General features: G+C 40.3%; 1 protein-coding gene across 40 annotated transcripts in view, besides 3 other annotated features; it reads left to right on the forward strand.

Moving 5' to 3' along the window:
• The window catches only part of CNTN4 (contactin 4), a 959,094-nt gene that overhangs the window by 828,665 nt on the left and 106,613 nt on the right, over positions 1-23,816 (forward strand). The window lies entirely within an intron of this gene.
• Positions 12,670-12,749: an enhancer, noted in NCBI's record as "active region_19338". NCBI's record gives its function as "activates an Ori minimal core promoter by ATAC-STARR-seq in GM12878 lymphoblastoid cells {active_cell/tissue: GM12878}" and the evidence as "EXISTENCE:reporter gene assay evidence [ECO:0000049][PMID:35858748]".
• Positions 12,800-12,939: an enhancer, noted in NCBI's record as "active region_19339". NCBI's record gives its function as "activates an Ori minimal core promoter by ATAC-STARR-seq in GM12878 lymphoblastoid cells {active_cell/tissue: GM12878}" and the evidence as "EXISTENCE:reporter gene assay evidence [ECO:0000049][PMID:35858748]".
• Positions 22,890-22,939: an enhancer, noted in NCBI's record as "active region_19340". NCBI's record gives its function as "activates an Ori minimal core promoter by ATAC-STARR-seq in GM12878 lymphoblastoid cells {active_cell/tissue: GM12878}" and the evidence as "EXISTENCE:reporter gene assay evidence [ECO:0000049][PMID:35858748]".

Raw genomic sequence — 23,816 nt, forward strand, 5'->3', positions numbered from 1 at the left:
AAGAGACAACCTAATATTTTGAACAGTATTAATGACTGCTTACAACTGCTACAGCTTAACCATTGTTACAAGCTAATTAAATTACCTTTGGGGAAATAGTATGCCAGTATCAAGAATTCTATATGATATGTGAATTTAATTGATTGTTTCCACCACTTGACTTACCACAAAGCTTGTCTTTATCCAGATTTCATTCTATCTATTCCTGACTTGACTAATAAGGTCCAAATATGCTTCAACATTTATTTTGCACTAAAATATATATTTAAACTGAGGAAACTCCCCATCATTACCTAATTCCTGCTATTTATCGCCTCCACCTTCTCTGTCAGCAGGCTAGTCCCAAACTATCAATATTAGCACTTATTCTCCACATGAGTGCTGTGTTCTCACAGTTCTGATCCTCGTTCCCACCTCACTCAGAATGTATTAACCAGATATGATGATTTTGTTAATGTAAATGCATTAAAAAACTGGCCAGGTGTAGTATATAGGGGAATGCTGGGGACTTCAGTGTTTGCCCCATCCAAGGGAGACACCTGCCACTCAGCCATATGGAGACACAGGTCAGGTGCCTGCTCATCTTCTTGTTCTTCAAGAGAAACTAGAAATCTAGACTTTTGTTTGAGCTTCCATTTTTTAAATGTCAGCAACTAATTTTTATTTTGATGATGTACAATATAAACTGTGTGCTTATAGACCAAGTTTACTTCATGAGCCACGGGTTTTTAACTTCTGAGAACATGAAGTGGAACATTTCATAGTTTCTGAAATGGGTGAACAATAAGAAAGATTTTATGATTGTTTTCTCATTGGCAGAGAAGAGATTCTGCCATTTTTCTCATTTCTTTCTGATAGAGAAGAGGGAAAATTAAGTGGATGAGTGAGAAAAAGCAATTGTAGATGAAACTGATGAGTAAAAAATTTTAGAACCCCTATTTTGGGAAAGGATTGACCTGGTAGACCAACATGAAGTGCAAAATTCTTTGACTACACAGCTTTGAGTAATAATTTCTAATGCACTGCCTCATTAGCCTTAATTCTCTTTTCAGATGTAGAATCTTAGGAAACAAAAGGCAAGTCTTTAACCTTTGATTAAAAATATTATTAATCCCTTAAGTAAAAAATACTGGCATAACACAGTGAAACAACACTTTATGATCAAGCCCCTTTTATTAATGTTCTGCCTAGATTCTGTGTTTTGAAAGACTTTGCTAAACTCTTACTTATTGACATTTAATTTCAATTTTAATTAATCAACTGCCTACAAATGAGTTTACAGTAGTGGTATTAGAAGCAATATTTTAAAAATTAAAAAGGTTTTGTCTCATCTAACCATGTGGTGATATTGTAGTTAGCTAAGTGGATATAGATTCAGAAACACTGGTTTAACATTAACATGTTCGTTATCTTAAAAATATGTTTAAAATATGTTATTGTTTTGGCTTCCCATTCTTTTGGAAATATACAGCATATTCACACTAGCCTTATCTATGTTAATCCAAGCATCTAAATGAAAGATTGAAAAGTCAAGTAATTTCATAGCATTCTTCTTGGGTAAGCAGAATATCCATAAACATAAAACATTTCTTATTGTCTTGTGTGTGTCTCCAGCAATCAGTGTAGGCAATATCAGGCATTTAAAACAGGGAAGACCTGTCACACAGCTCAAGAGCTTTAGTCCTCAGGAGAGGTCTCTAGTCACCATAAAGGCAGTTGGAATCATTTGGATGAATTGAGGAATTAAGCCTACTAACTGAATAAGGTTGATTATTTTATTTACTGTTAGTTTTTAGACAGAAGGTACTTTGAGGCAGGTAAGACTGAAGTTGACCTATTAAAAACAAAAACATTAAAATACAGAAATAGCAGAATCATTAATAAAAATCCTAGAATCCTAGGATTATAAGGAGCTATACAACAATTGTATCAACCCAGGGTGGATGCTTTTGGTTACAAGTAAGAGAAACCCAACTCAAAAGGACAAACGAGAATTCATTGGCTCATGTATTTGAGAAGATCCAGGATGGATTGCAACTGCAGGTATGACAGGGCTTAGGTGCTCACACAGTATCATCAGGACTCTGTCTCGCTCTCTTCCTGTCTCACCTGCACCTTTGGCTGTTTTGGCTTCTTTTCCAACAGGCTCTCCTCTCCTGCTAGTAGGATGACTACTGGAGCCATGTACTCACCCTCTTTTCCAATGTATCGCAATGTCCACTGATCAGGCAGACGTGAGTCATGTGCTTATCCTAAGAGGCACATGGGGAAGCCCATCTCAAACCACATGGACTGAGAATGGGACAGGGGTTTTCCCAAAGAAATCGAGCTGCTATCACCAGAAGAAGAGGGAATGGATGCTGCGCAGAGGCTGATGCCAAACTCCCACCATAATTACAGAGCCCATCTTCCATGCCAGGGCAGGGATCCCCACAATGGCTGGGCCCACATCCTTCCCTGGTTACTAATAATGATGGAGACCTTACTAATTGTTAGATTATGTCCTTGCAACTTCCACTCATTTTTGGTTTCACTTTGTGGAATTTTACTGACAAATCAGATTGTTCTCCACCACCCCTCCCTTCCCTTTCTATACTGGGAGGCTACCCTATGTTCTCTTTCAATTCTTTTCTAAGCCCAGATGTCCCCCTTGTATCTGATTTTCTTCAGACAGCGTTGTTTGGCATCCTCTCACTGTTTTGGTCATTTCCAAGCGGTTTTAATAAGGGAAAAAGTAGCTTTATTTATCTCCACAGAAAAGGATGATGATTATTATTGTTATACTAGAGAGAAAAAATGACCTTCAGCGAGTTTGGATTAGTAAGGCAAGCAAGTGAATGATATAACATAGAAAGACCACTCCCTGCCAATGTTTATTTTTAAAAATTAATGTGGTGCTTAGACAAGAAAGTTTAGTTGTCTGGAAAAATCACTGAGACAAAATATTTTACTTTTCACCGAAGCCAAATAAATTAATAAACTGTCACTCTCATTAATGTTGAGTAAATAAAGTCTTCTTATTCTTATGCTTAAGGGTTTCCCCCCACCCTTTTAAATATTAGACTAATACATTATGTCAAGCAAATGGATAATAAGCAGGTATAGGTACGCCACTGAATTTTTCCAAAAAGAATCTCACACCTACAGTCTGCATGTCGCAGGCTTGGGTTTAGAACAGCAGCATGACTCTGTTTTGTGAATCTAGCCAATTCCAGTTTCATTCCATGGATGCAGCACTCACTGGGTATTTACCTTTGCTTAGCACTAGAGAGAGAGAAAAAAAAGGAGACATGAACCTAGCTAGCCCTCACGGTGCTCATAGACTAGCGCAGAGGCCCAGTAGCACAATATCAATATAAATTTTTCAACAATCCTGAGGCATATGTTATAAAGGTGATGTATTGAGAAGGACTACTGGAAAATGTAGGGCAGCGATAGATTGTGGAGGCCTTGTATTTTATGTCTGTGGAGTTTAGACTTGAATCAGAAGACCATGGACAGAATTGAAGGATTTTATGCAAGGGAGTGTGCAGTCATATGCATGCTACAGAAAAATTACTGTGCCTGCAACATGCAGAAGGAATCAGGGTAGGGCAAGGTTGAGGATGCAGAGAGGGCAATTCCAGGTAGCAGTCTAGGAAGAAAATCACAACACGTGGATCACATCAGTCTCCTGAGAGTGAAAGAGAGAAGGGTGATATACGGACTATTAAAGGGTAGAACTGAAAACACTTAATGACCTAGTAAGTAGAAGGATTGAAAAAAGGAGGAGGAAAAAGAGGAAATGCCTCCTAGGATCCCATCTTTAGGAACTGACGAATGGCAGTTCCTAATACCACTTGCCGCAGTAGTAAACAGAGAAGGAGCAAGACTGAGAGGGGGCAAATAAAGAGGTTACTGTTAGCATGTTGAATGTGAGGTGCCTGCAAGTGGTGACGTCATTCAAACGGGGATTCCCATTCAAGTGTCACCTGCTCAGAGACACTTTTCCCAGTAACATACTTAAAATGGTAAAACCCTCACCTTCTTTTCCTAATTTATATATTTTATAGTATTTGTCACCATCCCACATACTATGTATTAACTTTTAATTGTTTATTTATTTATTATTTTTTAGAGACAGAGTCTTGCTCCATTGCCCAGGCTGGACAGCAGTGGTGAGATTATAGCTCACTGCAGCCTTGAACTCCTGGGCAAAAGCGATCCTCCCACCTCAGCCCCCTGAGAAGCTGTGATCACAGGCACATGCCACCATGCCTAGCTAATTTGTTTTGTTTTGTTTCGTTTTGTTGCTTGTAGAGACAGAGGCTTGTTATATTATTGCCCAGGCTGGTCTTGAATTCCTGGCCTTAAGCAAACCTCCTGTCTCAGCCTCCCAAAGTGCTAGGATTACAGGCAGAAGCCACCACACCTTGCCCACATTTTAACCTTATCATCGATCTTCTCCACCCTCCACCCATTGGATCGTAAATTCCATGAGAATAGAAATGTGTGCTGCATGTGCGTGCATGTGTGTGTGTGGCCGGGGTGGGGGGTGGGAGTTTGGCTTAAACAGTACAAATTTAGGCCGGGCGCAGTGGCTCACGCCTGTCATCCCAGCACTTTGGGACGTCGAGGCAGGCGGATCACGAGGTCAGGAGATCGAGACCATCCTGGCTAACACGGTGAAACCCTCTCTTTACTAAAAATACAAAAAAATTAGCCGGGCGTGGTGGTGGGCGCCTGTAGTCCCAGCTACTCGGGAGGCTGAGGCAGGAGAATGGCGTGAACCCAGAAGGCGGAGCTTGCAGTGAGCCGAGATTGCACCACTGCACTCCAGCCTGAGTGACAGAGCGAGACTCCGTCTCAAAAAATAAATAAAAAATAAAAAATAAGTACAAATTGAGATTCTTATAGTTCTGGAGATAAAAATTCTGATATGGGCCTCATTGGTCTAAAATCAAGGCTTCAGCAGAGATACACTCATTCTGGAGGCTCTAGGGGAGAATCTGTTTCCAGCTTCTACAGGTCACCTCCATTCCTTGGCTCGTGGTCCCTTCGCTCCATCTTCAGAGCTTAATGAAAAAGTGAGGGAGGCAAGTCTTAATCGGTAGAGGTTTATTTCGCCAGGGTTGAGGACATGGCTGGGAAATACATACGTCACTGGAGCATCTGTTACTGGTGCTCTTCCAAAAGGGGGTTTGAGGATTTTTCAGTATTTAAAAGGGAAAGAGCAAGCAAGAGAGAAAAAAAAGGAGGGAGGGTGGACAAAGATGCAGATGCTTACAGTCTTTATTTATTTATTTATTTATTTATTTATTTATTTATTTAGAGACGGAGTCTCGCTCTGTCGCCCAGGCTGGAGGGCAGTGGCGCGATCTCGGCTCCCTGCGAGCTCCGCCTCCCGGGTTCACATCATTCTCTTGCCTCAGCCTCCCGAGTAGCTGGGACTACAGGCACCCACCACTATGCCCGGCTAATTTTTTGTATTTTTAGTAGAGACGAAGTTTCACCGTGTTAGCCAGGATGGTCTCGATCTCCTGACCTCGTGATCCGCCCGCCTCGGCCTCCCAAAGTGCTGGGATTACAGGTGTGAGCCACCGCGCCCGGCCCAGATGGTTACATTTTTATGAGGCTGTGATCGGCCTCAGGAAATGTACATTTTACGTGTGAAAAGAGGGCATCAAGGAAAAAGTCAGTTATGCATTCGTCGCAGGGTCAGCCAAGGGATAATTTCTGGTTTTGTCCTTTTCCTCTCCGTGGGAAGATAAGCTGGTAATTGACGTTGTCAGGGTGAGATTCAACGGAATTTGGTTTTAGGGCTAGTTTATACAGGGGATATGTATCCTGAAAGATTTAGGGGCTCACAAGGAATTTCATTTGTGACGCAGGCCATCTGGGGAGATACGTGGCCTTCTGTCATTGTGGGAACCTGGCTTATGGGTGAGGCTGTGATACAGGGTTGTGAAATTACAGCTATCGGTCTGGGAACAAAAGGAAAGCAGTGTTGCGTGACTCAGTTCCCAAGCTTAACTTTTTCTTTGGCATAGTGAGTTTGGAGTCCCAAGATTCTATTTTCTTTCACGCTAGTAAAGGCAAGTTCTTCCCCCATCCCACCACTCTGACCTCTCTTCTGCCTCCTTCTTCCATTTTGAAAGGCCTTTTCTATTGGGCTTTCTGTATATGTTTTATTCCGTTCTTTAACACTACAACACTGCCTGGCATAGCATAAGTGCTATGTGAGTGTCCAATAGGAAACTGGAAGTATAGATCTGAGTTCTGGAATAGAGACAGAGATACAGACATCAGTAGATAAGAAGCCATGGAGTGCATTGGAGTGCATATGTTCATCCAGAGAGAGTTCTACAGAATGAGAACATCTATGGCTCAAAGGAAGGTACCCTGAGGAACAGACACATTCAGAGAATGAGCGGAAGCCACGCCTGCTGGGAGGTTTGAAGGAGACTCAAAGAGGTGGGAGAACATCTAGGAGAAAGTAACAAACAGAAGCCAAGGGAGAAGAAAGGTGCAACAAGGAGTAAGCGCTTGGTGCTTCCAAGACCCTCAAAAAAATAATGGTGCAAGCATGACTGCTGGATTTAGGAACCTTAACGTTACCTTGGGCAGAGTACTTTTAGGCCACTGTGGACCAGTTTTGAAGACACAATAAAATTGTATAAACATCCATATTCTTAGGCATGTCTTGCCAAACCGAAATACATGTTTAGGTCTGCCTGACCCCTGCAGTGTAATCAGATCAAGTCTAGCATTCTGTGAAAATATCCAACTGAAATAAGAATGAAATTCATGCTCATGTGTCTTGTCTATAGACACTGGTATCTGCCTCCAAAGTGAAATTGGATCATAACCCTAATTTGCCTCTCTTCCCAAAGGCTTTTGGAAGAGTTGAAATTCATGTAAGACATGGAAGGAAATCCCAGTGCAGGGCTGCACAACTCTGTGTTGCACACAAGGTGTGAAACCCAGGTCCAAAGACGCTGGCAGTCTGGGAGGCAAAGCAAATGTGATGGCAGGTATTTGCCCAGAAGGCCGATGGAATCCTGGTGTGGAAAGTAAAGTTTATTGCTTCAGGCATTCTGTCTCTGTTCTGGAGGCAGAGTGTCTATATATGTGCTCTTAATGAGAAACCTGCCCTCAGGATATCTCTTACAGTTGCTGCAGAGCTATAAAGCTCTGTTATTAGGAATTCTGCCCTGGGGAACAATTATGTTATTGCAATAATTAGAGGCAGTTCATCTCCATAATAATGGAAATCCTGCCTTGTAGGCAAAACAACATCAAAGCAACAGGAGCGTCATTGCTCTAGTTAGAATCTGCTGCCCTGCTTATTGGTAGTACTATCATTTTAATTTTGCACATGCAGTTACGAAAGAGAGCTTATACCGCTCTTCAAATTCAGACCTAGAACTTCTTGCCGTTACTTCAGTTTGTCTCTCCTAGAGCCATGGATAAAATAGTTACGGCGTTGAGCTCTCCTGAAGTGCAGTTGCAAAAGTGTTTAGGGAGATTGGTGTTTTAAAAATGTTTGTCAGAATCCACAGGCCCAGTCCTCTGGGAGACCCCATAAACTTACCCTCAGCCAAAGCCTTTTCTATGTGGGTATAGTATGGCATGTTATTTTATGGCCAGGGTTAAAATGATGACTAAATCCGGTGACTACCTGAGATGGGTCTGACCCTTTGCTCTAGTCATGTGGCATAGTAATACCAGAAGACATACATGTGGTTATATAACTCAAGACATATATATGGAATTTGTATATGAAGCTGCTTTTTAAAAAGTGTCCAATCTAAAGGTAACATTTGATTTTCAAAAAAAAATCTTTTGAAGTGTCTCACATATTAATCCCTTCCTTGCAAGTAAGTCCTTTGCCACTCCCCTGGTTTTCAGGCCTTATTGTCTCTTGTGTGAATTTTGCAATGATTCAACCAACCTCTTAAATGATTTCATTGGAACCAGCCCTCACCCAAATCTTCTACAAGATGAAACTTACCACAATAAACCTCTGAGAAATTCAATTGAATGAATATCTGTCACGTATCTCCCTGGTACAAGATGTATTTGAGATTATGAACATAACCTAATTTAAATCAAGGTTCTACATGTGTCACGGAAAAGGGACGAAACAGTTTCTTCCATGATTTACCAGAGACTTTTTTTTATCTTATCATAGTTATAAACTTCATATTTACAGCTATTGGTTATTTAATTAATGTTCATTTTCCCTAAGAGGCTGAAAGGGCCATGCTGAAAAGTGCCATTTGTGTTGGAGCATACAGGTTCCCCAGTTCCTTGTGCTATACCTAGAGTAGAATAGACACTAATGTTCTTGTATGAAATGAATGAACCAACCCAAATCGTCTGATTCTTGGAGGGGATTGAGGAGAAGGTGGTGGTAGTATATTTAGGTGCAAGGAGCAGCGGGAAAGAAATGTATTTGAAAGGAAAGTAGAGTGAAAGGTTTGAGCAGGAGGAGATAAAACTGGGACATCTCTCAGAATCCAGTTGAGAAAAGCATTCCATGGCAAGCTAAGAAGCTGGCATTTCACTGGGAAACAGAGTGAAGTAATGATTTTGTCTTGGGGCTTCACACTTCCTTTTAAGTTATCTCCTGTCCTCCATCGGTTGAGTTCAGTGTTTGTACTCAGGTAGTGTCTGCCGTGACTTACCATGCACCCACCTGGGAAAGCATTTCAACTTCCTAAGGCAGTGTTTCTCCATTCCTAGAGCAAAGATCCAGTGGTTGTTCCCAAATTTAGGTCTGCAGCTCAGTGCCAGGCTGACTGCAGCAAAATCAACTGAGATGTGTTTTAGAAAGCAGAGTCCCACTCTCCATCTTCAAAGATGCTTTCTCGGGAATTCTGAGATGGGGCCCAGGAATCAGAATACTTGTTTCCCATAGGATTTTAATGCACACTCAGGTATGACAACGTAGCAGTGGCTTCCCATTGACTTCAGGATAGACACTAAGTCTTATGAGATGACCAGTAAGGCTCTATATGCTACTCAGGCTCCTGCCTGCTGTCTACCAGCTGTCTCACTTCACTCACCTTTACCCTCAGTTTTTGAGCCACACGGACCTTCTCTCTTTTCTTCAAATGGCTTCTTCTTCCTCTTGCTGCAAAGCCTGAGAACGTGCTGTTCTCCTTCCCTGAAATGCTCTTATCCAGGCCTTGAAAAACTAAGTCCACAGGCCACATCCAACCCTCCACCTGTGTTTGTACAGTTGGCAAGCTGAGAATGGTTTTACATTTTTAAATGGTAGGAAATAAATCAAAAGAAAAATCTCATTTTGTGACACGTAAAAATTATGCCGATGTCAAATTTCAGTGCCCACAAATAAAGTTTTACTGGACAGGACACAGCCATACTCATTCATTCACAAATGGCCTGTGGCTGGCGGCTTTTACACTGCAAGGGCAAGATTGACTAAGTGGGACTGAGCCTACCCAGATCAAAAAGCCTGAAATATTTACTCTCTGGCTCTTTACAGAAAAAGTTTGCCAAACTCTGATCTAACTCATGGTACATTTCTGGAAATGTGGGGTATTAAAACATCTTCATAGTAACATGATCTTCCCCCACCTTGGGTTTTTTGTTTGTTTTTGGTTTGCTGTGCCTTTTATTTGTTCTTTGTGACTTACACTTTTGATTAAATTGTCACTTCCAGCATGTCCGTCTTATGCAAAGCAAAGGGGAAGTGAATTTGGTGGGAGGTCCGAATTATCTCACTTTGCTCTCTAGAGCAGTACCTCCCAACTTTTGCCAGGAAGAACTTCTTTTCATGCCCCCAAAATCTGAACTCCCTGGAGAAATCAGAGCCCAAGGGAGCTTTAAATGTGAAGACACAGAGGGTGAGGGATGGTGGCAGTGGAGAGAAAAGTAGATACCTGGTCATCTTCCCCATATTTCTGAACAACCAGTAAAAAAATGAAGTAATGGGAAATCTCCATCCTTGGTTGAGGATCCATGGTTTTACGTGGACTATTTTATACAGGTGCTTTAAGTTTATGCTGATAAATATTTATGAATGGTCTAGTTCCGTTGGGGAAGGAAAGAGAAGACAGCAATCACAGGACTTGGTTTCTAGAGTTTTATAAAATTCAGCTACTGTGACCATGTATACACACATCAAACAATTTAGAAACCACCAGTGAAGCACAAATTAACATAATATAGTCCAAACAGAATCCACAGCAGTGCTTAGGGAACAGACTGGGAAGAGACTCTCAGTCAGGCAGAGTCTGCCAAAATCGACTTCCAACAGGAAGTGAGTTTAAGCCTTTGTGAAAGAAAATGCTCCACAGAGAGAGGAAGAGAGGGAAGGGAGAAGTCTCCATGCTGGAGCCCATGTACGTGCAGCAAGTCATGTACAAGAAATGAGGGGAAGAGAGGGACTCAGCCAGGGGGAGGAGTTGCCATCTGTAGCATTTAGATGGAAGAGGTGGAAGGACAAACATCAACAGGAAGAAGCTACAGGTTTAACTAGAGTTGATTAACACTGTAAAATAATATGAATGAATATAAAATAATAGTGCCAGAAACACGGTGAGTCAGCTTAACTGTGAAGAAGTTTGGGAATCTCTAGCCATTAAGTAGAAATGAGACTTTGATCTCTCGTTATATCACTAATGTATTTTTGAATACATTTGAGGCTTTGGGGATCCTTGGGGATTCAGGTTACTTATTACTTTGGCTCTAGTCCTGTATTTCATGGTTATCTTGTGGCCATTTTTATCTCTGTAAAAAAAATGAGCATTTTCAACCCCCCATCTGTCAATAATAATAGTAACACCCAGCGCTTGTTTTTTTTTTAGTCTTTACTATGCCCTCTGCTTAATTTCTTTTAATCCTCGTAAAAATGTTATGGGATCAGTCCTATTATTGGGACTCCATCTTTCAGATAAGGAAACCAAGGCTGGAAGAAAGCAATTTATTTACCTTACTTAAGGTTGCAAAGCTTGATAATGTTAAATCTGGAATTCAAATCTAGGTCTCACTCATTGCATCTATGTCTACCAGGTTTGCCTGAGGAAGGAACAAGCACTAGATGCTTCTTTCTAAGCTTTAAAAGGGAGATAAAGCTTTCGTTACCTCCCTGGCATAGGACTGGCATAGCAGCTTTTCCTGTTACTCATTTCATATTTTCAGTAATAAACTGGCAGCTTTCAGATCCATAGCTTTATCATTTCCTGAGAGGGAGAGAGGTAGGATGGTCTGATTTCAGGGCTGGGTTAGAACCATGTAAACCCTTTGGAGAAGAGGTAAATTAAGTCCTTGAACTACCTCAGCCGTGCCTTTGTTCAGAGAAAATAGCTGTGTATCATCAAGTGGAGTTAAGTGATCATGAAAATATTCAAACCAAAGTGGCATGTCATTAAGAGCAATTAGAACTGAAGTGATGTGACTGGATATTAAAACCAGACAGGCAGTGCTTTGTGCCTTCTCAGTAGAGACAAGGCAGATGATTTGGGTTCCTCCTAACTTTGTCATCTCTAGAAATAAAATCTGCTAGACTTCTTAGATGTATTGATGCCATGTAAATATTGAAGGTCTGGGATCATATACTAAGTTTGACCCCTATATTTCCATTATAGAGTTTTCTCCTCATATTTCAGTCACAGATATGCCAGAGTTAATTAGATCTCTACTAGTAAATATCCATCATGATGTTTCTAAATCCCTTTTGCCAAATGATCTAATTAGAGCAACACTTGGCTTTCTATATAATTACAACATATGGCACCTAGAGGGTACATATAGTAGAATTATAGGTTGCCTGATGAGAAATCCAGGTGGTGGGTAAAAGACTCCATTAAATAGAGTAGGTGTGTGTGGGTGTGTGTGGGGGGGTATGGGCATGGGTGTTAATGTACACAATTCCTCCTACAATTCTCCCTAGAATAAGTAATATTTTGTAATTCAGCTGTCCTTCCCACATGAAACAACATGATTATATCATGGAACAGGAGTTAAAATTTAAAAGAAAACAAATAATTGATGACATTAGGATAAATTTTTTAACCTTCCATGCCCCTAAAAATGATCACATGTAGTAAGTCAGCAAGGCTGAAAGCAGCTCTGTGTAAGATGCATTATGTGATGGGATGTATTCCTCCAAGCAAGATCACTTACCCAAACTGCTAAATATAAAACAAAGATGGGACCATAAAGAAAGAATGGTTTCTTAATGCCTATTTGTAATCTCTGGAAGTAGAGTACCCAACTTCAGTAGGTGAAGAGTTCAGTGTTGGTTTGTTGAATTTGAAAAGCTTATCCTGCACTGTTGTGCTGGAGCCCAGTAGCAAGGGCTCAAAAGAGTGGATTCTGCACATCCATTCCCAGCTCTCTGTTCAGCGATAGCTCACATTCATAGCTTGATGTTAGCCATCGGCAGAATATTTACACCATGGAAATAGGCCCACTTCAAGGGCAGTTTTTCCAGAGCCACTGTGGTAAACATTGACAGCACACCACTAGCTGTGGGCATATGCAGCTCAGAGTTGGCCACGCCAGTTTAAAGTCCCTGGGACAGATCAGGTGGAGAAACATGACTTTCCAAATTGTTACTTTTGAAGTAATAAGGGTGTGGGAGGTTCATTGAGAGAAAAGAGAAAAGCAAAAGGGCTGTGGACAGACTCTTCTGATTTATGCAGAGTGTGCATGAAAGAGAAAAAGAAACAGAAAAAGTTGTCAGAAAGCTAAACGGAGAACCACGAAATAGGGCTGCTGTGAAATTCTAGGTATCATGAATGGACAGTGGTCAACAATGCCAGGTGTGGCCACAAAGTCATTCAGGATGAGACCACAAATGATATATATTTGGTGACAATGAATTCACAAGTGACCTTGAAATAAATACTTTAGATAAGTGCAAAAGCTGTACAGGCTGCATGGTAAGCAGCCAGATGCAGTGGATCTTTTTGCAGGTGTTAGGTAAGGAATCGGAAGCTTAGATATACTGCAAGAGAGTGACATATTTGTGGCAAGGATCTCATTAGGATGGAGGAGATTGGGGAATATTTATAGCTTGAGGGAAATCACACTGTGTCGAAGAAGGAGTTAAAGATGTAAGGGAGGGGAGATGATTCTCAAGGAGAGAGCAGAAGAATGGACTAGAAATCAATTATTGTGGGAAATGATGAGGAACCTCTGTTCTCTGTGGGTAGGAAGAGAAGATGAGTAAAGTCTCAGAGAAGTTAAGGGTAAAAGGAGTTGAGGAATTTCATATAACATACCTTTGACCTCAATCTCAATAATATGAGAGTCAAGGTCATCTTCTGAAAGTCTGGTCATGGGGGTGATTGTGCACTTGAGCAAAAGGGAGGCCTGGACTGTGTTTTATGGTCAATGTGATAGAAATAACATTTGAATTGAGCTTTTTATATTTTCAGTTGCTTCCACACACATTGACTTTCCCACATATTGATTTGCTCTAAAGGGTTTTATTCCAAAAGAGGTGGTTTGTTCCAAAGGATGCATAAAATTGTTATAGAAAAAATGAGGTTGACTGCTCTTAATATCAGGAAAGATGTTTTTCAGGTGAATGCAATGTGTTCCAACTCAGAAGGAAAACAATGCAATTTAAAATTACTATTATCCTTTCTCATTTTCTCAAGGACTTTCCCTCCTTCAATCATTCCTGCTCTTTCTCTACATCATCAGACTCTCCCTTTTCTTACTGTTCCTATTGGATTGTTCCTTCCAGCACATCTGCATCTTCCTCATCCACTTTGCCTCCTTTGCTCTGTCTACTTTCCCTCTCTCTCCAGGCAATCTCCTCCCCTCCCATGGCTGTAAACACCATGTGTGTACTGACAACCCTGAAATGTGTGTCTTCAGTACAGGATTCTCCCCTGAGCAATGTATGGTTAACATTCTTCAGAAGGAACTCACTCCTGCCACCAGTCTCCACCCTGAACCTTAGTCAGTTATACACCACCTCTCTCTGATCGCTTGAGCCTGAAACCTAGAAATCACTGCTAATTTCTGTTTCATCACCCCATTTATCCTATGCATCAATAAATTTTAAAAACTTTACTTCCAAAGAACATAATCTATCTCCTTCTTTCTATGTGCATTGCTGGTGCACTGGCCCAACCACCCTCATTTCTTGTCCAGATGGTTGCAGTAGCCCCGACGCGTCGCTCTGCTTCTATACTCGCTCCCTTCCAATGTGTTCTCTGTACCATAGCCAGAATGGTAATGGAAATCAAATCTCATCACAAATGCTTAAGATAGAAGCTAAGCTGTTGAACACAACCTACAAGGTATGGCATGGTCTGGCTCCTTGCTGTATTATTTTTGTGTTTTGTTTCATTTCCCCTCCCTTACATCTTTAACTCCTTCTTCAACTGCCTCTCCCTACCTGTACGTGCCAGAGGTCTGAGGCCGTGTATACCGCACTTCTCACTATAACACCAGTGCCTCCTTTCCTCTTCAATTTCTTCTTTGCATTTTTCTGAATTTGTAATTCCATATTTATGTTTTCATTGAGTTGACTGTTATCTGCCTTCCTAAACTGGCCTGTAAGCTGTGTGAGGACAGGATCTACCTGGTTCCGTTCACCACTATTTATCCAGCACTAGCCCTGGAATACAACTTAGGGCTTTAGTCAATAAGTGTTCAATAAATGAAGAAAGAAATCAATGGACTTACAGCCTCTTTTCACGAGGACTAGAGACTTCTCCAAAAATAAAAGCAATAGTAAAGATAAAAGTAAGTAATTTAGGGAGTTGGAATAATGGAGAATTGTCAGTAGAAAAATAAAAATGGCAGCAATAAAATTAGCACATAGAAATACTTTCAGTATAATTCACAGGTCTGGTTGTATCTGTCTTGCTACCCAATCAAAGAAAGAAACATAATTAGTTATAATTATCGTGTTTATAAAATTAAAAACAATTGTTTGTCCAATAGTAAAATCTTAGCAAAACCTTCCTCATGAGACGCAATTACTGCAGTTGATATAAGATTTCATAGATGTGCCTTATAATTTTCATACATTTGGCAAATCATGTGGTGATGGAGGACACCTTAGTAAATTAACTTCTGTGAGGTAGGGCCAAATATAGAGCTTTTTAATGGTGAAGCTTGATGTAAGGGTACAGTTGTAAATACTACATCAATATTTCCCAACACGAGTTCTTGAGATGGGGTGGGAGGTGATGTATAGGGTATAAAGTGGTGTTCTATAATCAAATAAGTATAAGAAGTACAATTTAAACATTTTGTATTGCAGACTGTCTCAGAATCCTTAATATGTTGATTACAGTGATAATCTTCAGGAAGCGTGGTTCCCAAATTTATCTGGAAATCAATTTTGCTGCACAGAATACATCAAGGGACTAGGGTTTCAGGGAGCAAAAACTTCGGAAAGCTTTCCTCTAAGTGGATGTAAGACTTTATTTACTTTAGGAATTCCATGATTAATTTTCACAACCATGATTGTATAAGGACGGATTAGAAGGAAATGCAAGATTATAATTGCTGGCAAAGAATAGGGAGTGCACCTATTGTGTGTCCCCAATCTAGATGAGGTGTATACTATACAGTAGGGCAAAGAGAAACGTGAGGGCAAATGTCAGAATGCCGCCTTTAGGGTGGAACAAAGATGCAAGTTCCTTGGGAGAATCAGCAAGCAGGAGAATCATTTAGCTCACAACTGATTCCTGTCCACAAAGTCAACAACAAAGAAGGCTGGGTAAAAGCTACAGAGAGTCTCAAGTTTTTCCTGATGTATTTTTCCACAGGCTGTTAGACCTAAAACTGAATAGCTAAATCGAAAGCAAACCAGCTATCCCAATATAGCATAACAGCATGAACAACTCAAGCCTGCAATTAGCCCAGGGAGAACAGGACTTTACTTCTAGTTCCCTCAAGTGTGGAAGAAGCAAAGAGAGCACAGTCAAGTGAGAAGGAACACTCGGCAGGTTCTTAGCAATTGCACCATCTTCGTTCTTGATTTAACATCCAGCGTTTCATGTTGATTAGTGAATACTTGGTTATAGAGACACAAATTTTATTTAGATTGTTTGTTTATTTTTAGACTCCTAGGTAATATATAAATATATAAATATATTTATATATATATATATATATTTTTTTTTTTTGAGACGGAGTCTTGCTCTGTCATCAGGCTGGAGTGCAGTGGTGCAATCTCGGCTCACTGCAACCTCTGACTCCCTGGTTCAAGCAATTCACCTGCCTTAGCCTCCCCAGTAGCTGGGATTACAGGCATGCACCACCACACCCAGCTAATTTTTGTATTTATAGTAGAGATGGGGTTTCATCATGTTGGCGAGGTTGGTCTCGATCTCCTGACCTCGTGATCCACCCGCCATGGCTGGTAATATTTATAATGGCCACAAACAGTTCCCTAGCAATTGATTTGGAAGTGTTTGCAATGCTGGGAACAGATACCCATATGATGCACTTTGCCTACAGATGTTTGTATTTGTATATGTGATTATATAATAATGGAATTGTAGTTCCATAGTAAAAAATAAAAATAAAAATCCATTGATGAATTTTTCCTCAGTAGCTCTAATAACCTTTACCTGTATCACTCAAACATAATCACAAGCCAAGGTCATGGTTCAGAGAAAAAATGAATTTTTGGGGGGTTTTTTTTTTGGTGTTGCTTTGTTTGGTTTGGTTTTTGTTCCACACCCTCAAATACCAACAGAAATATAACACCTCCTTTATTAAATTTTATATTAACAGCAACATTTTGAGATAACTAGAGCATAAATTTTTTTTACCATTTCATTCTCGGAAGCACAATAGCACAGAGTTAAAAAATAAATCTAAGTAGTAGAATTTTAAAGCTAAGAGCAGCATCTAGTCTAAGAACTCCTTGAACTGGCTCCTCCTCCATGTGACTGCATTCATTTTCTTTCTGATAATCATGAAAAGTTGAGCTCCATGATGTTGGTAACGAAACTTTTATTATTTCTGCTCCTCCATAGAACCATTTTGTATTTATTTTTGAATATGTCACACATTTTGCTCTCCTTGAATACTAGACTCTATTAAACACCTACCGAAAACACAGCAAAGCAAAATGTAAGAAAACTAACAGGAATAATTTCAAATTTCAAATGATAGCCTCTGCCTTTATTTAACAAATATTTGAGGCAACTGAAGTAAAAAATAACATGAATGCTCTCTTGAACTTTACCAGAACCTTGTCTAAGGCTACTGCTACTGCCTTAGATTGCGTGTCCTGAAACAAACTCAGATGACAGGTTGCATACAGAAGGTTTATAGGGGAGTGCTCTCTGAGGATACACCTGCAGGGAAGTGAGAAAGGCAGAAATGAGCAGAGAGAGAAACTGTCCTACAGGTTGGTTGCAACTGGGATTTCAGCTAGTCCCACTGAGAGCTCTGGAGCTCAGATAGCCCTTCAGAATGGTCTTACCTTGAGGCAAGGGAATGTGGTCTTTAAATCCCTGGATCAGCCAGTCATGGGCCTCAGATCATCACCTATAAGGGGTATAAGCTTAGTGGAGGCAGTTCCCCGTTTCAGGGGGTAATTCAGTAAGCGACACAGCTTTAAGCTGCCCCATATTCTTGGGCAGAGTTTTTGGAGGTAGAATGCTTTGGCCTGAAGGAGGGAAATCTGGGTAGAGTACTCTTTCCTATAATTATAAGAGATGACTGTATGGCACCCTTATCATAGGAAGAAACATTTGGAACTACTCATTATTTTTAAAAAAATGTCTTATGTTAGCCAATTAGTCTTCAACAGGATGCCCGGAGGAATCTGTCTGAATTTCTCATCATGTTCAAAGCATAAGTTGTAATTGATTCTTTCTTGGCAAGGGAACGCAGTGTGATTCCTCTGCCTCATTTCCTTTTTCCGATCCTCCCCTCAAAAAGCAGACTCAGGGAATATGACCTAGACAGTATCCCCATTTTTAGCCTTGGGGACTCTCCATTTTATGAATTCCCTTTTTCCTTTTCCACAGACACTCTCTCTTAAAATGTCTGGGCACCTCCCCCTCTCAGCCTTTATCCTCTCTTGCTTACTTTTTGTCAAAGATTGTCAGTAACTTCATTTGAGGAAGGAAAGAAGGGAGGGAGGAGACAGGAAGGAAAGGAAGAAAGCAAATCTGAAGAAAATAAAAAACTTCGACATCAGATCAATAAAACCACCTCTTCGCCTAGTTCCTATGACTTTTTATGCAAGAGGGTCAGTGTCTTTTCTCTGCTTTGAGTTGCAGGAAAGAAGGACACTTTAATTAGCCTAAGTTAGTACATGGCCATTGCCTAGAGGATAGATTTGTGTCAAACCTAAAAAATCAAGGGCTAGAAAAATAGAACCCATTATATATACATCACAATATAGTTATGCATTCAAATTCATTTGGAATTTTTCAAAAGTGAGATAGAAGATTTTAATGTGGAAATGTTCTGTACAACTTATAGATGCATGTCATATTAGGTAAGAGTAGGGTCCAGAGAGTCTCATCTTCTTTCAAGGATGTATATCTTTTCCTGTAGCTAATATAATCTCTGATTATTAGGATTTCAGGGCTAAATGAAACTTTAGAGATAAACAGATGAGTGGGTTTCAACTACCAGTTGAAAACTCTGGTTTTCAGCCATCCCTGGGGGATGCAGCATATCACTATTGTTGAAAATGGTTCATTGCACACTGATTGTCAGAGGAAGTGGGGATGGGGAAGAGGTAAGGGGAGAAGGGAGGGTCAATAGGAGTGTATGAGAATCTCAGGCAAGGGGATGCTTTGGAAAATCCCTCCTGAACTTTCTGTCATGCGTGGCTTTCCAAGCCGTGGGATTTATTGGTTTCCCCAGGACTTTTGTTTTACATTTATGGTAAAACTGAGGTTAGATGATTCATGACATGTCTCATAATTAACTATTGACGTGTATATGCTCATGTAACGTCATGTCTCACTGTAAAGCAATAAAGCTTTCTAGCAAGAAGAGTATTTAGAATCCCACCAGAAGGTTCCAAAAATCATCCAACCAAGGGTTCACTGAAATGAGCTTTCTTTGGCAAGCACAGTATATTAGCTGGCTCCACGTTTAATTTTTTAAAATTAAGTTCCAACATTTATAATTTGGTACATGCCCTATAATCCAGACTTCGGACATCTCTTCAAAAACTGAAGGATCTGCAACAGACAGCTTGCTTTTTTTTTTCTTTTTTTTTTTTTTTTTGAGACAGAGTCTCACTGTGTCACCCAGGCTGGAATGCAGTGGCGTGAACATGGCTCACTGCAATAATCCCAGACTTCTGGGTTCAAACAATCCTCCCTTCTTAGCCCCCATGTAGCTGGGACCACAAGTGCACACCACCATGCCCAGCTAATTTCTTAACGTTTTGTAGCAGTGGGGTCTCCCTTTGTTGCCCAGGCTGGTCTCAAACTCCCGGGCTCAAGCAATCCTCCCACCTTGTCCTCCCAAAGTGCTGGGATTACAGGTATGAGCCACTGCCCCTGGCCAGCCTGCATTTCTGTATGGCAATACTTATCCAGAGCTAAGAAGAGTTATCCTTTTAGCAAAAACATGAAATCTTCAGTTAGCCATACAATCCTTGTATCCCAAATTAAGATGTGGTGTCAGTTGCTGCTTATCATTGTTTTCGCATTGTAGTTTTTCTTACAGTAAAAATAAAAGCAGAATATTTTTTGCGTCTGTTTCTCTATCAAAGAGTGAAAATAAGAAAATGTAGTCAAAAAGACCACACACTTCAAGAAAATACAGGAAAAGAATATGTTCTCTTATGCCCCATAACAAATTTTCCTGTGTACAGGCAAAGCATGTCATGAAAACCTTCTTGCCAGCTTCATTCATTTTTATGACCTGCTTACCTCCTATAGGCAATAGTGCTTGTACATCTAGATCTAGCTCTATCCCTTTATGTTACCAATGATCATTCAGAAGGAGAAGAAGGTTTTAAATCCCTCAGACTACCTGTGAAGTCTGGACAAGAACCTAGTTCCTCACATCTATAATAGTACAGTGTTCTTTTTATTTTACCATGAATGGTTAATAGTGGAAACTCTGTGTTTTCTCTTCCCTGGAGATTGTACTAATCTACTCTTGTTATTTTTTGGTTTTTTGTTTTTCTTTTTGTCTTCATTTGCTCTGTCATACTGACGTGAATGGCAGGTTGTCAATTAACCCTCTTCCCAGATTGTATTAAAATCTGAGTATAAAAGCTACAGCCAGATCCCTATCTCTTCCATTATAGATACCAGACATCTAACAACACCCAAGTGAGGGTTTTCTTTATAATTTTTCCTACACAGCTGATTGTCAGCCTAACTTAGTGCCTGGTAGATAAAACGGAGAATTAAACTTGCCTTTTAGGCCAGGAAATTATTCTGTTCTAACATTATTGCTCATATTAAAACCCTGTGCCATTAAAGCTGTCTCTATTAAATGAATATGTGCTGGGTGCGTTGTTTATTCAATTTAATTGTAGGGAAAAAAAAAACTCATACGAGGGAAATGGTTTTTTGAACTGGTTTTTACCAGTCACAAGCCATGTGAATGAGTGTCCAATTAAATAGTGGCTCACTAGGACTTGTGTAATAGTAACATCTGTTACCTTAATTAAACAAGTTACTATATAAAGGCACTTTCATAGCTCACTTTGTTAGAGTAGGTTCTGACCTAGAAACTCTAGGAAGGTTTGTTCTCTTTGTGGGATTTTGTTGGCGGTAGCGTTCCCAGTTGGCCCCATTAAACTATAGACCTGACAAGCTCTGTGATCTACAAACCTACAATACGTTCAAGCCTACAGAGCCTAGAGGAAGGAGGGAACTGAAGTTTGTGATGCAAAGTGGAACAAATAAAATAGTAAAAGTGCTGGGTAGGAGTGCTTCGTACTCATTTTGATGAACTTGGGTGTTGTGACTGAGAGGCAAGTGGTGGTGGTAACAGAGAAAGGAGAGTGAACAAGTATTTATTGACCCTCCATTGCATGTTAGGCTCGCAGGAAAATCTGTATCTGCAGGCATAGGTCTACAATCCTGTATCCATATCTTTGAAATCCAAAAAGCTCTGAAAACAAAAAAATATTTTTCTGTCTTTTTTCTTCTCTTGTTAATCTATTTGTTTATTTCTGGCAGGTTTGGAGCAAACTCATTTGGTGGCAAAACCAAACTGAGGCTATTGATAGACTTTGTCTTTATTTACCCCATGTTGAATCACAGAAATAATAATATATTGGGTTGTGAGATACTACATACACCAGACTTTTCTTGGGATGTTATATAAAATAAATATACTATGGTGTTTTTTAATATTCAAAATCCTGAATGCCAAAACACAACTTTCCCTGAGAGTTTTTGATAAGGGGTTATGTATTAGACCATTTTTAAAAAGGTAAAATAAACTAAGGCTCAGTGATATTGTTTTGCTCAAAAATAGACAACTAATCAGCCCTTCCAGTGACTTCCCATTCACTTCAAATAGTCTCTGCTTGCCATATCCTGCAGTGTCCTACATAGCCAGGCCCCTACTTATCTCTCTGACCATATCTGCTGCTAGCTAGCTCTTTCTCTTAGCTACAATCACACCGGCTTTGCAGATCCTCAGTGACATCTAGCTCTTTTTTGCCTCAGGGCCTTTACACTTGCTTTTCCCACTAACTGAAACACTTTCTTCCCTGATCTTTAATGAACAGCTCCTTCTTGTCCCATATCTCAGCTGAAATGTTGTCTTTGCAGAGAGACCTCAAGCACATTCAAAAAAGACCTTGCTCCTGTCATGCCAACCAAAACGAGTGTGATGGAAAGTTAGCTGAATTCCTACTGGATTCATAGATGAAATAATATCAGAAAGAATACAGATATTATGAAGTTTGTTTTTTCTGCCTAACGTCTAGTACTTCTTTGTCTGAAAGAAGCACCCTAGCGATGCTTTCAGGAAGGGCCTTTTCCCATTATTTGCACCCTTCCTTGCTTTTTTCAGTGCCAAGTGCTCTGCTGTTCTCTACCCAGTGGACCGGGTTATGGGAAGGCACAGGCTAAGCCAATCAGACCCTCTCCTTCTTTCAAGAATCAGAATTTTCCTATGGGCAGGACACAGAGCAGAGACATTGGGTGGCAGCTCCCTGGGGATATTGCTCCTTAAATTCTACTCTCTAGACCCCCAGAGCTACTACTGGTTGCTGTCCTTTCCAAGCCCTATTTGTTCTGCTTTTTCTTCAGTTTGTGAGTTACCCCATATCTTTTCAATAAGTTCCCCATTTTGCATAATTTAACTTTGCTTTTTTGAAACAGACTTTGGTCTATTTTAGTTACTTACAATACCCAAACCCTAACTGATATAGGCAAACAGATAGAACATCTTTAATTTGTATGTTTTTCTCTAAATCTAACTTAGAAAAGTAACTCTTTAATGGCATTTGGGTGTTCATCTTAGTGGTTAAAAATAATTATATCTTATCCCATTTGAATAAAACAACTTAAGAAGTTGAATATCTACAATTTGAGGAAGGGGAGCAATTTGAAACATTTTGCTTCGCAAAGATGTTTGCATCCAGCTTAACTGCTTACCCACCTGATTAAGTACCTTATCCATGACTAATGGAGTTGTCGAACATGTGGACTTGCAGAGACTCATGGAATTAAAATGGATGTATCCCCTCCAGAGAGCCCTGTTTCCTCGAAGGGTAGCTAGCACTGGAGTGGGATGCTGTGTATTCCCACAGGCATGTGCTGACATGGGAGTTGCTGAAATTTGGAGGCTGAAACATTTTGGCTGCCTTTGTGCAAACTCAGGTTGTCTGGCATCTGCATCCTCCCAGAATGAGTCATTGTATGTCCATGCTTCATTGATTCTTGCTGAAGGAGATTTGGACAATGGGCCTGAACCTGCCAAATGAGTTTGGGAAGCCCCAAACACATCGGTAGCTTGTTATATAAGCATCTTGTGCTCAGCAGTTAGGCCTGCCACTGTCTGTGATGAGTAGCAGGTCCCTGTCATAGTGACATCCAGATGAGGTTATTTGCTTACCTCTGTGCATGACATGTGAGCCCAAAGATGCTGGACTAGGTCCTCTTCCAGCAAAATGGTGCGCATTGCCCAGATGGTCTTGCATAAGCTGAGAAAGAATAGAGAAGGCAACGTGTGGCCACTCACCTAGACTCTCATTTGAGCTCCCTTGTCAGTGCTTTATGAATGTGGAGGATGAAAAGATATCCCAGCATTCTTTGATGAATTGGTTTTAACTCTATATGGAGACCTTCCTGAATCCCAAGATAATCTAATCTCTATTTCCACAGCCCATGAACTTATCCTTATAACATCTGAAGTTCAAATTATTTATTTAGAATTTGTGTCCTATACTAGACCTTACATTTCATGACAACACGAGTTGCCTATCTTGATCATTGTCATATCTTATGCACTTAGCATAGTACTTGACACATAATGGACATTAAATACATATATGATGAATGAATTCACTAGCTGTATCACTTTGGGCAGGTTACTTAATCTCTCGAAACCTAATTCCCCATCTGTTCAATGGTGATAATAATGGTAACCATCTTAGAAAGGGTTATATGAGGTAACCCACGAGAAGCTTAGAATTGTGTCTTTTGTTGTTATCATTGATAATAAATAACGAACAATGAATCTTCCCTCTACTTTCAAAAAGGGAAGTCATATAGACCAGTGGTCCCCTTTTTGGCACCAGGAACTGGTTTCGTGGAAGACAATTTTTCCACAGATGGCGGGTGGGGTGGGAGGTGGTTTTGGGATAAAAGTGTTCCATCTCAGATTATCAGGCATTAGATTCTCATAAGGGGCATGCAACCTCTAGATCC

Source organism: Homo sapiens, chromosome 3 (genome assembly GCF_000001405.40).
Source record: "Homo sapiens chromosome 3, GRCh38.p14 Primary Assembly".
NCBI classification, from domain to species: domain Eukaryota; kingdom Metazoa; phylum Chordata; class Mammalia; order Primates; family Hominidae; genus Homo; species Homo sapiens.